Here is an 18,037-nt window from a genome sequence, read left to right on the forward strand (position 1 = left end):
TCAATAAATGGTGCAGGAAGTATAAAAATAGGCACATAGAGCAATGGAACAGAATAGAGAACCCAGAAATAAAGCCAAATGCTTACAGACAACTAATCTTCAACAAAGTATGCAAAAACACTAATTGGGGAAAGGACACTTTATTCAATAAATGGTGCAGGAAGTATAAAAATAGGCACATAGAGCAATGGAACAGAATAGAGAACCGAGAAACAAAGCCCGGTACTTTCAGTCACCTGATCTTTAACAAAGCATATAAAAACTTCCATCTAAGACCTGAAAGTCTAAAAATGCTACAAGATAGCATCCAAAAAGCTTTTCTAGACATTGGCTTAGGCCAAGTAGTCATGACTAATGCCCCAAAAGCAAACGCAAAAATATAAAAATAGAATAAGATCAATAGGACCTAATGAAACCGAAAATCTTCTGCAAGGCAGAAGAAATATCAGCAGGGTAAACACACAACCCACAGTATAGGAAACAGTAGTCACAAACTAGGCATCTGACAAAGGACTAATGTCCAGACTCCAAAGGAACTGAAAGAAATCAGCAAGAAGAAAAGGTGCCATTTACCACCTTCCTGACTCATTGGCCAGAACCAATGTTAGTGGAATTAACATATGCCCCACCCCAAGTGACTTCTAAAGGGCTAACTCACCACAAGGGAGTCAGAGCAGATCTTGGACTGAGACCTACAGGACACAGGTACTGCTTTTTCTCTTTTATTTGTTTTAAATTTTATTTATGTTTTTAGATCAAATAGTTCAGATTGCATTGGTTTTTAATCTGCTGTTGTTGGATTAACATATGCTTTAAGCGACTCTTAAATAGGTGGCTCACCAGGAGAAAGGCATAGCAGAACCTGGACTGAGACCTACGGGAGACAGGTATTGCTTTTTCTCTTCTAATCATTTTAAATTTAATTTACCATCTTTCATCAAATAGCTCCGATCATATCATTATTTTTTCTTTTCTGTTTTGTTGGTGGTTTTATTGGTGGAGTTTTATTTTACTATTTTAGAAAAGCAGTCTTTTAAAAAAGACTTTTAAAAAGTTTTATTACTCTTTTTTTTAAAAAAATTATGTTTTCCCTTGATGTGCTTATTTCCTTTATAAAGATCATCACCATTAAATTACTAGGAGATACTGCGGCTGATTTTGTCATGCGTGAGATAAGAAATTTTTTGCCAAAGCAATTAGTGATGAGTGCAATGGAAAAATCCGTGATGATCTTTTAAGATGATTAACTTTCTAATCCAGAAAATGCTGCTGTTTGTACTGAACAAAATAGCTTTATTTTTATATGACCAGGGGTACATAAAATGCTTCAAAACAACACATAATTTGGCAAAAATACTATGTCTTGCCAGCCAGAAGAATAAGTGTGGTTTTATTTCTATGTATATGTCTAGTACCATGCCTGCACTAGAGTTGGGAAATTTTAAAAACATCACCTATTGATACAGAAGAGAAGTGCTGGGAAGGGAAGGGCATGGTCCCTTTGAATGATACAGAAAAGGTGAAGGAAAGTGATGGGTAGAGGAGGCCGGGGTCCCTGGCTAGGGCTCCAAACCTGGGCTTGTGCCCCTGGACCTAGATGAGGACAGGCATTTTTGTTTTCCTGACCAAATGTTGCATTTCCCAAGATCACCCTGGCCCACCATGCCCTATCCTGTGCCTAAAAAAACCCTGGGACCCTAGCAGGCAGACACACAGGAGGTTGGACGTCGAGAGGAGCACATCAGTGCAAGAACACATGGGTGGCTGCCACTTCTCTCCCTTTCCTGAGAGGGAAAAACTCTCGACGCTGAGAGGAATCCACCAACAGGCACCAGCACTCTGGCAGGCCACCGACCAATGGATTGACATAGAGTTTGGCTGGGGCAGCCAGAGGAGAGCCTGGGCCGCTGAATAACCCGACTTCAGGGGAAAACTATTCTCCCTTTTGGCTCCCCCATCTGCTGAGAGCTACTTCCACTCAATAAAACCTTGCACTCATTCTCCAAGACCACGTGTGATTTGATTTTTCTGGTACACCTAGGTAACAACCGCGGGATACAGAAAGCCCTCTGTCTTTGGGTTAAGGAATGGGTCTAATTGAGCTGGTTACCACAAAGCCACCTATAGATGGCAAAACTAAAAGAGCACATGGTACCACATGTCCACTGGGGCTTCAGCAGCTGTAAACATCTACCCCTAGATGCTGCCATGGGGTTGTAGCCCCACAACTTGCCAGTCTGTATGCTTCCCTAGAGGTTTGAGCAGCGGAGTACTAAAGAAGCAAGCCACACCCCCACTCCACCTCCTGTGAGGGGGACAAGGAAACTTTTCCCATTTCAACTGGTGGCTCGTCTGGGATCTCGGAAGGTGAGTGTGAGTGAATGGGAAACTGTTGGGCCTGCCTTTCTTCCAAAACTCTGCCACTTCTCTCCCTTTCCTGCAGGTAAAAGACTCTGTTTTCCTTTCATCTCTTTTCTCTCTCACACATTATTTGAAATGGATCTTATCTCTTCCTTTATAATGTTAAGAGTTTTGCTACAGGCTGAGGCAATGTTACTAAGTAAAATGAGCATTTGGCTCAGCCGCCAAAGGTGCAAATCAGACCAATTTTTCCTAGAGGTGCCATGTATGCCTCCACCTTGACAGCCCCAGGCATGAGCGGCTTCCAGGGCACCTCTCCTTACCCTTTTCCCTCCCAGCTCCAGCACCTAGGCATGCCTGCAGCAGGCAAAGGCCACACCCAATAGCCATGAAGGGGCAGGGGGAGCAATGTCGCAGAAGTGTCTCCCTCCACTGCCTGGGATGAGGGGGGTGTGAGAAAACCGATGGTAGCCAGGACCCTACAGAGTGCTTCTCACCCACTGCATCAATGGAACCTTTCCTTCCATGGCCAAGGAATTCAACCTGGTCTGAACTGGGGGAAGGATGGGAAAGTTATAAGGATTAGAGGGGCCCACTTGCACTAAGCAAGGGGTTCTTCCCCCAGCATTCCCCACTTTTTGCCTCTTTAACTGTTTTTCTCTTTTTTTCTTTTCTAAGTGAGAATCCCCACCGCTCTGTTTCTAATAGGGAAGTTAACAGAGGAGTGACCCCTGCTGGCTGATAATTGCAAATTCAGCAGGGCTTATTTGAGGCACTAAATGGATATAAACAGCCTCTGAAATGCTTTTTCAGTCCCAAACTCAATTCCAAGCTTCAGGCTGAGGCCCTAGAAAGAGAAAGCAGGTCTGAGGAATTCAAAGCCAGGCAACAGGCACAATGTAAATGGACAGGACCAATTCCTGCTGACTGAACCCCATCCCACAGAAGGAGGCCATGCCTCATGGGATAAAAAGGCCCAGGGAACTCAAAGTTTTTCAACAGCAGGGAGAAAAGGAAACATAGGTGAGGGCAGTTAATTCCTAATCTCCAGGTTCTCCCTGCTTCATGGGTACATACCGCATTTGTACCTGTGGCCGGCACCTGCCAAGGTTGCCAGGGCGCAGGGGTAAGAGGTGGAAAGTGAAGTGAAGATGCTTGCTTTCCCTCCCCATCACACCCTGAGCTTTTTGCCAAAAGAAGGAAGGGAAATGAGGAACACCTCTATTCCCTGTCTTTCAGAATGGGCAGCCAGTTCTCCTCACCACCCCCAGCTTGTACTCCCCTTGAGTGTATCCTGAACCATTGGGACTGTTTTGACCCTCAGAATCCAGAGGAAAAGCATCTCATAGCCCTCCGCACATAGGTTTGGCCAAATTATGGTTTACAGGAAGGACTGGCTTGGCTTCAGGAAGGGACCATTCATTTCAATACCATCCTGCAATTAGAACTTTTCTCTGGATGTGAGGACACATGGTCTGAGGCCCCAAATGTGCAGGCTTTCTATACCTTGCAAAGCAATCCAGACCTTTGCTGACATGTAGGATTGTTCCAGCCCTCCTGTTTGCTGTCTCGGGGAAGGCTGCCAGGGTCAAGCCCAGGGAATTAAAGACACGAGTCCCAGACGCACCCCCAGCTGACGTGCCAGCTCCCTCAAGCCCTGCTCCTCTGGGTCCACCCCAACCTCCGTATCCAGCTTCAGCCTCTCACCTGGCCCCTCCTAGAAATCTTCATCCCAAACAAGCCCAGTCTCACTCTTGCCCCTCCTACAGATGCCCAGTGAATTTGGGCCCAGTAAGGTCCAAGTCCTCTTTTCCCTACAAGACTTAAAGCAAATTAAGGGAGATCTGGGCAAGTGTTCAGATGACCCTGATAGATATATAGAAGCTTTCCAGAATTTCACCCTAACATTTGAACTCTCCTGGAGAGACGTTATGTTACTTTTGAGTCAGAACCTGATAGACACTGAGAAGCAGGCTGCTCTGCCAGCAGCAGAGAGATTTGGGGATGAGCTTTGCATCACCTATAGCATCAGGGAAGGGAGCGAATATTATCCAACTGGAAGAGAAGTAGCACCAGTGAAGGACCCTAAATGGGATCCCAATAATGAGATGGAAGACTGGAAGAGGAGACACTTTCAGGTGTGCATAATAGAGGGCTTACGTAGGTCTAAGACCAAGCCTCTCAATTATACTAAGTTGTCCATAATTAACCAGGGATTTGATGAAAATCCCACTGCCTTCCTGGAGAGGCTAAGAGAGGCCTTGGTAAATCACACCTCTCTATCTCCTAATTCAATCGAGGGACAGATAATCCTAAAGGATAAAATTATTACTCAGGCAGCTCCTGACATCAGGAGGAGGTTGCAGAAATGGGACTTGGGACCAGATAGTACATTAGAGGACCTCCTGAAAGTAGCCACCTCGATCTTTTATTATAGAGACCCCTGGGAGGAATCTGACTGCCGTTTTCCCCCAAAACAATGCCCCCTTTCAGCAGGAAGCAGCTAAGACTGGTCATCATCCATATTCTAATGGCAGTTAGATGTACCTCTTCAGAGGGGGCAAATGACATGAAAGTGAAGTGCTGGGATGGGAAGGGCATGATCCCTTTGAATGATATAGAAAAGGTGAAGGGAAGTGTTGGATACAGGAGGCTGTGGTCCCTGGCTAAAAGCTCCACACCTGGGCTTGTCCCCACGGACCTAGATGACAACAGGCATTTTTGTTTTCCTGACCGAATGTTGTCTTTCCCAAGATCATCCTGGCCTGCTAAGACCCATCCTGTGCTTATAAAAACCCCAAGACCCTAGCAGTCAGACACACAGGAGGCTTGACGTCGAGAGGAGCACATCAGCGGAGGAACACACAGGCGGCTGGACATGAAGAGGAACATGACAACAGGCACCAGCACACCAGCAGGGCACCGACTTATAGAACGATGTGGATTTTGCCTGGGGCAGTCAGAGGAGAGCCAGGGCTGCTGAACGGCCCCAATCCAGGGAGAAACCAATCTCCTTTCTGGCTCCCCCATCTGCTGAGAGCTACTTCCACTCAATAAAACCTTGCACTCATTCTCCACGTCCACGTGTGACCTGATTCTTCTGGAATGCCAAGGCAAGAACCCTAGGATACAGAAAGCCCTCTGTCCTTGTGATAAGGAATGTGTCTAATTGAGCTAGTTACCACAAGTTGCCTATAAATGGCAAAACTAAAAGACCACACGACCACTGGGGCTTCAGGAACTGTAAACATCCACCCCTACACACTGCCAGTATGAGAAAAATTTGCTGATATGTTTTCTGCTGACCTGATGACAATGTTCCTATGGTCACACTAACCACTGCTGGGTAATTTTCATCATGACTCTCGTTTTCATCTGCTGAAACCAGCCTCCCCAAGAAAGACAACTATTTTCAAACTGAGGAAATAAAGTGTTACTAAACCACAGTGTTCTCTCATGGCTGTTCCTGGAGTTCTTCAAAACACTTGATATTATAAAATAGAATTATTACAGATCACTGTATGTTATGGATTTAGTCAAAATGATAATTTAAAATATGGTTTAAAATAAAAAACTTTATTTTCCAAAGAAGATAGTTTTTTAAACAAGAATATCCAATAAAGACAGTATGAGGTCAGCTGACTTTAGTGTTGGTGTATGTGTATGTGTGTGTGTGTTTATAGTTTAAAAGGTAAACAAAAATGCTTTATTATTTAATATTACGCAAAACTTTTGTTTAAAGGAGAAAATCAAATTTTATTTTTGTTGAAGTTAATTTTTAATAAAATTTTACGTAAAATCTATGGAATTTTAATCAGTTTGACTCTAAGGTAAGATTTTTATAAAGTTTGCATAACATTTATAGTTCTTTTAAAGAATAGATTAATATTCTAAGAAAACCCTGCTATTCTGATACATGAACCCAAATTAAGGCCTTGTATCAGAGTGTTTTTAATGAATGTTTAATTTCTTTAAAAACAAAATAATTCCTTAAATTTTAACCAATGCTTTTTTTTGTAAAATTTTTATAGAACTAATTTTTACAAATCTTTTACAACTTATTTAAACCTTGAGTCTTGTCTTGTTATTTTTTATTTTTGAATTTAACATAACTTTTTAGAACTGCAAAACTAGACAAAATTACTGTTTTTTATAAAAACTATATGTTCATGTCTTTTTATAACTTTTTATTAAAAATACATTCTACTTTTTCATATACTTTGTATGAGAAATAGTTTTAGTTACATATATTCATTATAATGTTAACTCCAAGCAACTCCTTTTAATAATAAACTTAGGATGTATGCAATTTTGATAGGTAGCAGTTGCAAAGCCTACTGCAAGGGTCAGAGCTGTAGAAAATGTCTCTTTCCAGCACAGAGAGGGGGCATGGTGCCCTTCATTTGTCCCCAGGCTTTAGCTAGAACTTAAAGCTCTAAAACAGACATGTAATTCAATTATTTAAAAGATTACAGGAGTTGTTTATGACCTGAAAATATTTACTAAGGGCAGTATTTGACCTGTATAATTTAAACCAAATGTCTAAATTCTGAAGATGTTCTAATTTTACTTTACTAATAATTTTAAAGCATGCTTTATTTTTTAAAGATTTTTAAAGTCAGGTGAATTAAAAGGGATTTGAGTTAAAGTTTTTGTATTTTCTGAGAAAATATTTAGGTGTTTAGTTTTCTAAGCCGATTAATGAGGGTTTCATCATATATTTTGGTAGTGAAACATTATGTACACATGAGACATCTAAATATACAGACACACAGACAGAAGCAGATTTTATAGATTTATAACTTTTTAATTGTTTTTTAAAATATTTTCCATGATTTAAAAAAAAATTATTATTATTTGTTATTTGCCTAGTCAGGCTATTTGAGGGCCGAAAGTAGTCAAGATCTATTTGTCCAATAGAGGGCGCCCCTCCACGCCGCTGGCTTTTTAGGGAGTCCGTCGATGGAAGACCTGTAATAAAAATAAGGTTGATGGTTAGGGCTGCTGAGGTGATGAGCCCTAGATTTCTTCTAGTTCAGGAGTCTAAGTCACTCCGCTCATGCAGCTAAGTCATTCCCCAGCCCAGATCCCCACATAGCATCATTCTCCCCCTGTCCCGCACCCAGACTCACATCACCTTCTTCCTCGTCTGGACTCAAATCTCTCTCTCTGCTCCCCGCTCCATAAGGACACTTGGGATTCCATTAGGGTCTAGCCAGATAAACCAGAAGAACCTCCCAACATTAAGATATTTAACTTCCTCACCTTTTCAAAAACGCTTTTGCCATAGAAAGTCACTTTCACCGGTTACAGGCGGTAGTTCTTGGTTACAGGAACTTGAAAATGTTCCCTCTTCATATTTACCAGCTTTTGTAAAAAGCATGTTTTCTGTCCTGTGTACTTGAGCATGCTAAAGTCTTGTCCCCTTAGTGATTCCACCTTCTGTTGCCCAAGCACTAGGGGAGGGTCCTGCTGCCTCTTTTCACCTCTGACATTTGCACTCTTACCCAACATGGCTACTGATCCGTTGAAAAGGCCGTGAATTTAAATTTAAAATGGTGCCATTTACCACCTCCCTAGTTCATTGGCCAGGACACTTCCTATCGGGTTAACTTATGACCCAAGTGACTTCTAAAGGGGTGGCTCACCGTGAGGGAGGCACAGCAGAACTTGGACTGAGTCCTGCAGGACTCAAGTATTACTTTTTCCCTTTCATTTGTTTTAAATTTCATTGACTTCTTTGGATCAAATAGCTTACATTGTATTGCTGTTTTTTTTTTCTTTACCATTTTGTTGGTGAGGTTTTGGTGTTGTTGCTTTTTTTCTTTCTTTCTTTCTTTTTTTTTTTTTTTTAGAAAAAGGGTTAACTTCTATTGCCCTGGCTGGAATGTAGTGGTGCAATCACAGTTCACTGCAGCCCCCAACTCGTAGGCTTAAGCAATCCTCCTGTCTCAGCCTCCTGAGTAGCTGGGACTCTAGACGTTTGCTACCGTGCCTAACTTTTTAGAAAATTATTTTAAAAAAATATTTTAATCCTTTAGAAAAAAATGTGTTTTCCATAGATTCCCTGTTTTTAAATATAAAGTTTATTGCCATTGAAATTTTAAGAGATATTGTGGCACACTGTCTTATGTATGAGATAACAAAATTCCCACCAGAGCAATTAATAACAACGGAAAAGGCAATGACGATGTTTAACTCGACAATTAAATTCCGAATTAAGCACATGCTGATGTCTATACTAAAAGAAAATTCATTTTTATGCAATTAGTTGTACGTGAAATGTGTCAAAGAAATACATAATCTATGAAATAAATGATGCATTATCAGCCAGAACAAGTAAATTTGGTTTGATATCTATGTATACACCCAGTACAATTTCTGCACTACAGTTAGAAAAACTTAAAATACAATATAACCTATTTATTGTAAAAGGATGATGAAACATGAAATATGAACAGCACAAATATGTACAAGTATCACTTCTCAATGGAAAAAATTACGTATAAAAAAACCAGCAGAGTTTGTGGTTGAAATATGAACAGCATGAATATGTACAACTATCACTTCTCGATGGAAAAAATTATGTATAAAAAACAACAGCAGAGTTTGTGGATGCATTGATAATGGTAAATCCTGTATGTTATGGTAAACATCTTCATGAAAACACATTTACAAACATTTTCTCTGCTGAATGGATGATCATGAAAAGGAATTTGTTATCATCACATTTGCTGGACTGAGCATAATGAAAAGGAATATACTACGATCTGGATTGTTGAACTTCCATCCAGAGAAGAAATTTACTATTGTGCTACAAGCTGCAGTAACAATCTCCTTGTGATCTCAGCAAGGCCTGCAGGGCAATTTACATCAGGACTCCTCTTTTCCTCTCCAGAACTTCACTTACCTGAGAAAGAGTGTCTTTTGATAAATAAAATATTATTAAATGAGTGTGGTCTTATGACTGTTTCCAGGGTGATTTGCAATGCATGTTGGGGTGAGTCTCTGGGGTGTGTGCTGAGGAGGGGTGGCTTTTAATCTTGAGAGAATGTATGAAAGGGAAAGAAGGTCTCCACAGCATCTGAGGGGCTAAGGACCATGACCCTGCCTGGATTTAAGAAATGGGAAGGTTTCAGAGGGTGAAATTAGGTGTTGAGTCTTGGGGGGTGTTTGAGAAGCTCCTGCCTCAGGAGTGGAAGCTCTGGGGGAAGTAAAGACAATCCTGGGTGCCTCAATGGGGCATTTCCTAATTTCAGAGAAATCAAACCAAAAACAGTGAGGAAATGGACTCCTTGAAGACTGTGGTCCATGAATATATGTAGGGAAAGGAAAGAGAGATCAGACTGTCACTGTGTCCATGTAGAAAGGAAAGACATAAGAGACTCCATTTTGAAAAAGACCTGTACTTTGAACAATGGCTTTGCTGAGATGTTGTTAATTTGTAGCTTTGCCCCAGCCACTTTGACCCAGCCACTTTGACCCAACTTGGAGCTCACAAAAACATGTGTTGTATGAAATCAAGGTTTAAGGGACCTAGGGCTGTGCAGGATGTGCCTTGTTAACAAAATATTTACAAGCAGTATACTTGGTAAAGGTCATTGCCATTCTCTAGTCTCAATAAACCAGGGGCACAATACACTGTGGAAAGCCGCAGGGACCTCTGCCCTTGAAAGCGGGGTATTGTCCAAGGTTTCTCCCCATGTGATAGTCTGAAATATGGCCTCATGGGATGAGAAGGACCTGACTGTCCCCCAGCCCAACACCCATAAAGGGTCTGTGCTGAGGTGGATTAGTAAAAGAGGAAAGCCTCTTGCAGTCGAGATGGAGGAAGGCCACTGTCTCCTGCTTGCCCCTCAGAACTGAATGTCTCGGTGTAAAACCCAATTGTACATTTGTTCAACTCTGAGATAGGAGAAAAGCTGCCCTGTGGCGGGAGGTGAGACATGTTTGCAGTAATACTGCCTTGTTATTCTTTACTCCACTGAGATGTTTGGGTGGAGAGAAACATAAATCTGGCCTGAGTGCACGTCCAGGCATAGTACTTTCCCTTGAACTTAATTATGATATAGATTCTTTTGCTCACATGTTTTTCATTGACCTTCTCCTTATTATCACCCTGCTCTCCTACTACATTCCTTTTTGCTGAAATAATGAAAATAATAATCAATAAAAACTGAGGAAACTCAGAGGCCGGTGCCGGTGCAGGCCCTTGGTGTGCTGAGTGCTGGTCCCCTGGACCCACTGTTGTTTCTTTATACTTTGTCTCTGTGTCTTATTTCTTTTCTCTGTCTCTCCTCCCACCCAACTAGAAATACCCACAGGTGTGGAGAGGCAGGCCACCCCTTCAAATATATAGGACCCAGAACCAGTCCATTGGGGAGGAAGCTTTCAAGGGACACATTTTGGCTGGGAAGGAGGACAGTGAAGCTCTCCAGCCAGGGAGGACGCCTGGCAGTCACAGTGATCTCGGAGGGGCCCTGCACACTTCCACCACTTCCGGTTCCTCGATTCCTCTCCACCACACCCATTTTCTGAGTTCTCCTGGGCACCAGGCACTGGAAGCCGTTCCTGCTCTCATTCCTCACCCCCCTTTTCTTCATTCTTCAGGGCACGACATTCTCCAACATGTTCACATCCCTCAATTTTCCTTCCCCACCTGTCTGGAGTCTGAAGCTCCAGGCACTGCAAGGATGTGAGTTGGGGACCTGTTTGTTCTCCCCGTTTTACTGGATCTTTCAGGGTCTCCATTGTCCAACTTACTAGGAGCCCTGAATGCTTGCCGACTCTACCCCATCTGCTCCATTCTGTGGGCTGTGTCCTCTCTCAAACCTCCCAGGTCTTTCAGGCCCAGGCCCCCTCCTCCACTTGCTTGTGCCCAGGCTCCTACCCAGCCTCTGCTAGGATCCAGTATTGTCAACAATAAATAGATCTCCTTGGAATCAGGGTAACTGGCAAGCTCGGTTGAAGGACGTATGAGAGGATGGAGGTGGAGAGTTCACTCTCCCAAAGTGCCCCTCACACACACACGCAATGGGGACAATGCCAGAGCCTGACCTTATTTCACAGCAAGCTGCCCAAATCTCACCTTGCTCAGTGCTGGACACTGAAAACACTGACCCTCCCAGTGAAAGCTGCTCTCCTCTGTTCTTAGTCCCCACGCCAGGCCACTCTGCATTCTGTACCCTTCCCCCAGGCTGGTGTCCCAGACCGTACTTTACCCAGAGAGCCCTGCCCTCAAACTCACTTCCTCTCCGGACAGGCTTTCTGCCTTAAGCTGCGCTTCTTCCTCGGTGGTAGCAGGAGGCCTTCCTCTCCCTCCTCCCTCTATGATTTCTTGCACCTAAATGAATCTAACCTTGCTCTCACCTTTGTCCCTTGTGCCCTAACTTCTGTTGACACCTTCATCTGGTGCCCCTGACATAACCCTGGGGCTCCTGAGCCCTGGGACATTTGTATCTAGACAACCACGAGCCTAACACCCTAAACAGACACAGGCATAGACACACACACACACACACACACACACACACCCAGCACCAAAGCTGCTCCTACCCCAGTCACACTGGAATTAGATGAAAACCCCAGGCTTTGGACTCCTTGGCTGTGAGGGTCTTCCTGGAAAGAGCCAGGTCCAGCTGCATTTTCTCATACCCTGAAATCGCACCACTACACCCCAGCCTGAGCAACAGAGCCAGACTCCATCATTTAAAAAAAAAAAAAAAGTACCCAAAAGAGTTCCAGAATAAGATAAAAATGGTTTACATACAATCTCGCTATCTGGGAATATAAAGTGCAGTTACTAAAAGCAGGGAATCTCTTTCCTGAAACTATTTCTAACTCTGTGAGGAGCTGCTAGATTCTACAGTGCCTGACAGACAGCTCTCAAGGGCCGTTTGGCTTGTGAATGGCATTTCCAAGGCAAACATCTTGTTTGAAAGCTGCTGCTCTGGTTAAAGAAGGGTCATGAAAGTCTTTTTTTTTTTCCAGTTATTTGGGTGAAGTATGTTTTTGCGAGCAAATTTACCTTTCCCTCTGCGTTCTCCACATTTTGGGTTGTGATTTTATGACAATATAGTTTGTATATTCAACTTATACATATTTATAGTGTTCAGTAAGAGCCTTTTAAAATAAAACAATTGAACACATTGGTTATTTTCACAAGACTCTAACCAAAATAGTATATTTTTAGGTAAAAACCCAGGAAAATTAACTCAAAAGTAGCCTATATGGCCGATGAATTCTTGCTGCATTTTATGCAAATTATCAGGCCAAGTGTAATAAGCCTAAAATTGATTTTGCACACAAATTGGTCTTACTGTAATTTCTCTTTAATAGGAAAAATAGGGGGCTACAGACCAACCAGGATCTTCATGAGGACCAGTGAGCACAGGAGTAGGAAAGGGGTCACTAGCATCACTGAGATGCAGGTGGTGGCCATTCCTCATAGAAAACGAGATTTTTGGGGAACCTCCCATAGTGCTGAGCTCCATAGTGCCCACGGGGATGACAGAATCTGAGAATGGCTGGGACCAGGACTTTTGTCATCAAAAGCCAGCTGGAGGGTATAGGCAGTAAAATTGGAATGCAGCAAAGGGAGGCTGACCTGCAAAGCACTAGGAGGGATCTCATAAAACCTGTTACCCTTAGAGGCAAGACAGGTGGAAAAAGAGTAAGTATGTCACTTAGTAGACATAATCAAGAGGAGCAGAAAGCCAAGGTCAGCTGTCCGCCATAGAATGTCATGATCCCTTGCTCAGTGAAGACCTGAGACAGTCCTCACACCACTATATGTTTTTCTTTTTATAACCTTTATTAAAATACAGTTTATTTTTTCATTTACTTGGCACATTTGTATAATTGTGAAATTGTTTTCTTAGTAGTTTTAGTTACATATACTCAGTATAATGTTAGCTTTTAGGAACCCCTCTTTAGTAAAAATAAAACAAAAACGTAAGCAATTTTAATTGGTAGGAGTTGCAGAGCCCACAGCAAAGGACAGAGCTGTGGAAAATGTCTGACTCTTCCCAGCACGGAGTCGGGCCGTGGCTCCTTTCACATGTCCCCAGACCTCAGCTAGAATTGAATGCTCTAAAACAGACAGGCCAGATGATTATTTAAAATGTTTTGGAAACAGTTTTTGACCTGCAAATATTTAGTAATGGCAATATTTCACATGTCTCATGTGGACAAAATGTCTACATTGTGAAGATATTTTTCTTTTACTTTACTAATAATTTTTAAAACTGACTTTATTGTTTTAAGTTTTGTAAAGTCACATGAACTAAAAGGCAATTGAGTTAACGTTTCAATTTTTCTGATAAAGACTTGATTGAAGTGTTTATTTTTAAGCCAATGAATGAGAGATTTATCATATATTTTGAAGTGAAACGCTATATACACATGACTCATCTAAATATACAGACTGAGGTCAATTTTATAGATTTAGAACTTTTTTTATTTGTTGGGCTTTTAATATTTTTTAAAAGCTTTACATCCTTTATTTTTGATAATTTGTGATTTCCCTGGTGCAATTATTTGGAGCCCACAGCAGTTGGGATCTGTGTATGCAGCAGAGGGTGCCCCTCCAAGCCTCTGGCTCTCTAAGGCCTCCTTCCATTTCAAGGGTAATTAAAATAAGGCTGATTGTTAGGGATTCTGGTGTGATGAACCCCAGCCCTCTCCCACTTCTGGGGGCTAAGTGTTTACATGCCATCGCCCTTTGTTCCCCTACTGGGCCTCACATCACCTTCTTCCTCTTCTGGACTCAAATCTCTCTCTGCTTCCCCTTCCTAAGGACACTTGGGATTTCACGAGGGTCTAGCTAGATAAGCCGGGAGAACCTCCCACTGTTAAGATAATTAACTTCCTCACATTCACAAAAGCTCCTTTGCCACAGAAAGTCACTCTCACAGGCTACAGGTCATAGTTCGCAGTTACAGGAACTTGAAAATATTCTGCCTTCAAGTCCACCAGCTTTTGTAAAAAGCATCTGTTTCCTGTCCTGTGTAGTTGAGCACACTAAAGTCTTGTTCCCTTAGTCATTCCTCCTTCTGCTGCCCCTGTGGGGAGGGTCTTGCTGCCTGTACCCACCTCTGACATTTGCACTCTTAGACAACATAGCCGCTAATTTGTTGGAAAGGCGTTAAATTAAAAAAAAAAAAGTGCTATTTACCGCCTCCCTCTTTGACAGAAGACTGTCTGTCAAAGTAACCCCGCCCCAAGTGACTTTTTAAGGGGTGGCTCACCAGGAGGGAGTCAGAGCAGAACTTGGACTGAGTCCTGCAGGACACAGGTATTAGCTTTTCTCTTTTATTTGCTTTATGTTTCATTTACTTCTTTGGATCGAATAGCTCCAATTGTATTGCTGTTATTTGGTTTTTCATTTTGTTGTTGGGTTTTTTGATGTGGTGTTTTTTTGTTTTGTTTTGTTTCTTTTTGTCTTTTTAGAAAGAGGGTTTCCCTCTATTGCCCTGGCTGGAGTACAGTGGTGGAATCACTGTTCACTACAGCCTCCAACTTATTCCTGGGCTCAAGCAATCCTTCTGTCTCCATCTCCTGAGCAGCTGGGACTCTAGGCATTTGCCACCGTGCCCAATTTTTTTTTAATTCCTTTTTAAAAATATTTTAATCCTTTCCGGAAAAAAATATGTTTTCCATGGACTTGCTTATTTCCTTTATACAGTCCATTGTCGTTGAATTCTTATTTGAATTTGTGATACACCCTCTCATAGGGAACATAACAAATTTCCTCCCACAGCAATTAATGACGAGTGCGATGAGAAGCATAATGACAATGATTAACTTGATAATTAAAAATCTAATCAACCAACTGTTGATGATTGTACTAAACAAAATAATTTCATTTTTACACAACCAGTTGTATGTGAACTATGTTGAAAACAGGATGCATGACTGGCGGCCAGAACAAAGAAGTTTGGTTTAATTTCTATCTATACACCCAGTAAAATATCTGTAATACCACTGGAAAACCTTAAAATACATTATCTATTTCTTGTAAAAGAATGATGAAATGTGAATTTGAACAGCATAAATATGTACAAGTATCTCTTCTCAACGGAAAAAATTATGTTTGTGGATGAAATATGAACCGAGTTTGTGGATGAAATATGAGCAGCATGAATATGCACAGATATCTCTCCTCAATGGAAAAAATCACGTACAAAATATAAGAACCCAGTTTGTGGATGCGTGAATAATGATAAATTGAGGCCGGGCGCGGTGGCTCACGCCTGTAATCCCAGCACTTTGGGAGGCTGAGATGGGCGGATGACCCGAGGTCCGGAGCTCAAATCCAGCTCGACCAATGCGGTGAAACCCCATCTCTAGTAAAAATACGAAAATTAGCCGGGTGTGGTGGCGCATGCCTGTAATCCCAGCTACTCGGGAAGCTGAGGCAGGAGAAATGCTTGAACCCTGGAGGTGGAGGTTAATAGTGTGCCCAGATCGCACGACTGCACTCCAGACTGGGTAACAGAGTGAGACTCCGCTTCAAAAAAACAAAAAACAAAGAATAATAATAATAACGATAAATCCTATATGTTACGGTAAAAATCTTCATGAGAACAAATTTACTATCATTTTTTCTACTGAATGGATGATCATGAAAAGGAATTTATTTTTATTTCGTATGATGGACTGAGCATCATGAAAAAAAATACTACCTTTTGGATTGTTGAACTTCCATCCTGAGAAATTTACTATTGTGCTGCATGCTGCAGTGATGATCTTGTGATCTCAGCAATGCCCATGGGGCAATTTACATCGGGACTCGTTTCATCTCTAGACCTTCACTTACCTGAGAAAGACAAGTGTCTTTTGATAAATAAAATATTGTTAAATGCAATGTTGCCTCATGATTTTTTTTTTCTTTTCCTTTTCCTTTTTTTTTTTTTTTTTAGATGTAGTTTCACTCTTCTTGCCCAGGCTGGAGTGTAATGGTGCGATCTTGGCTCGCTGCAATCTCTGTCTCCCAGGTTTAAGTGATTCTCCTGCCTCAGCCTCCTGAGTAGTTGAGATTACAGGTACACACCACAATGCCCAGTGAACTTTGTATTTTTAGTAGAGTCGAGGTTTCACCATGTTGGCCTCGCTGGTCTCGAACTCCCGACCTCAGGTGATCCACCTCCTGGGCCTCCCAAAGTGCTGGGATTACAGGCATGGGCTACCACGTTCAGCCATGATTGTTTCCAGGGTGATTTGCTACACATGTTGGGGTGAGTCTCTGGGTTGTGTGCCGAGCAGGGGAGGCTCTCAATATGGAGAGAACCCGTGAAGTGGGGGAGGAGGTTTCCATGGGGTCTGAGAGGCTGAGGGCCATGAGCCTGCCTGGGTTTAGGAAATGGGAATGTTTCACAGGGTGAACTTGGGGTTTGAGTCCTGAGGGTGTTTGAGAACTTTTTTCTTCAGGAGGGGAAGCTTCAGGGGAAATAAAGACAATCCTGGATGCCTCAAGGGGCATTTCCTAATTTCAGAAAAATCAAACCAGGAACAGTATGAAAATGGCCTCCTTGAAGACGGTGTTCCCTGAGTACCTAGAACCCAAAACCGGTCAGTTGGGGAGGAAGCCTTCAAGGGCCACATTTTGGCTGGGAAGGAGGACAGTGAAGCTCTACCGCCAGGCAGGAAGCCCAGCCAGTGTGTTCCCAGACCAAACTCAGGGTCTGGCTGCTATTTCTCACGGCCCAATAACGAGATGCAGATAAACTGGGGAGGAAGAGAGTTTTTTATTTCTGGAACCGGTTACAGAGAGAAGGCCCAGAAAATATCTCCAGACCAACTGTAAATTACAAGGTTTTCCAGAGCTTATATATTTTCTAAGATGTATGTCTACGTGTCAGTGTGCATTTATCTAAAGATATAAGTGATTAACTTCTTTTAATCTGTAACTCTAGTCTAAGTCTTGGAGACCTTTCTCTGGAGCCTCAGTACATTTACTTAAATCTAAATGAGTCCAGGTGCTGGGGCTATTACCCTGACCTTGTCTCCTGCTCAATCACAGAGGTTTGGGGGGGGTTCCTTTAGACCCCCAATGAACTTGTTTGTGGAGGCCTGGCGAGTTTCTTCAGACCCCCAATTAAATTTGTTTAATCCTAAACAGGTCTGGTTAAGAATTCCTTCTTTGTTTTGTCATGCTGTAAGGCCCAGGAAAGGCCTAGGTAAAACCCTTGGTGGGCTTTTGTTACATTCTAGCCTTTGTAGAAAGGCGCTGGCACTTTCAGCTTTTGATACTGAACTTAACCACTCAGTCAGTACTGAAGTAGTTGTGATGGGGACCTCCATTAGTGAAATCTGGCCTGCCACAATCCCCACTGTCAATTTGCGCATGATTTCTATCATGCTTGTATATTTATTTATCACAAGAATCATAGGGAGATGGAGCATTGTAATCTTTCTGGCTACTTCCTGCTGAGAGGGGGTCATCGTTATGGGGCACCGAATGCAGCACTGGAGTGGAAAAAGTCGATTTGTTCCCAGTAGCACTCTCTGTTTCGGGGGTGTAGAGGCAGCACCTGCTAAAACATAATAGTAGGCAACAGCAACACATATAAATAGGTTGCTGCTACTTCCTTCAGAAGTTTCGGTTGTCTAGTCTTCAGTTCACAGGGCTTTAAGAAAGCACAGCTTAGGTTTCAGTGATTTCCAATTAAGAAAA

At 42.4% G+C, this 18,037-nt stretch overlaps 1 protein-coding gene and 1 long non-coding RNA gene across 2 annotated transcripts in view; both read left to right on the forward strand.

Moving 5' to 3' along the window:
- Positions 1 to 601: 601 nt before the first annotated feature.
- LINC01480 (long intergenic non-protein coding RNA 1480) lies at positions 602 to 2,008 on the forward strand. The gene is made up of 3 exons (NR_110724.1): positions 602 to 705; positions 818 to 887; positions 1,705 to 2,008. It is a non-coding gene; the product is annotated as a long intergenic non-protein coding RNA 1480 (long non-coding RNA).
- Positions 2,009 to 14,621: 12,613 nt separating this feature from the next.
- Positions 14,622 to 18,037, forward strand: part of CEACAM21 (CEA cell adhesion molecule 21) — a 37,327-nt gene continuing 33,911 nt past the window's right edge. Inside the window, exon 1 of the mRNA NM_001288773.3 lies at positions 14,622 to 14,656. The gene's annotated coding sequence lies outside the window, so the exon portion shown is untranslated. The remainder of the gene's footprint in view (positions 14,657 to 18,037) is intronic.

This window comes from Homo sapiens, chromosome 19 (genome assembly GCF_000001405.40).
Source record: "Homo sapiens chromosome 19, GRCh38.p14 Primary Assembly".
NCBI lineage: Eukaryota > Metazoa > Chordata > Mammalia > Primates > Hominidae > Homo > Homo sapiens.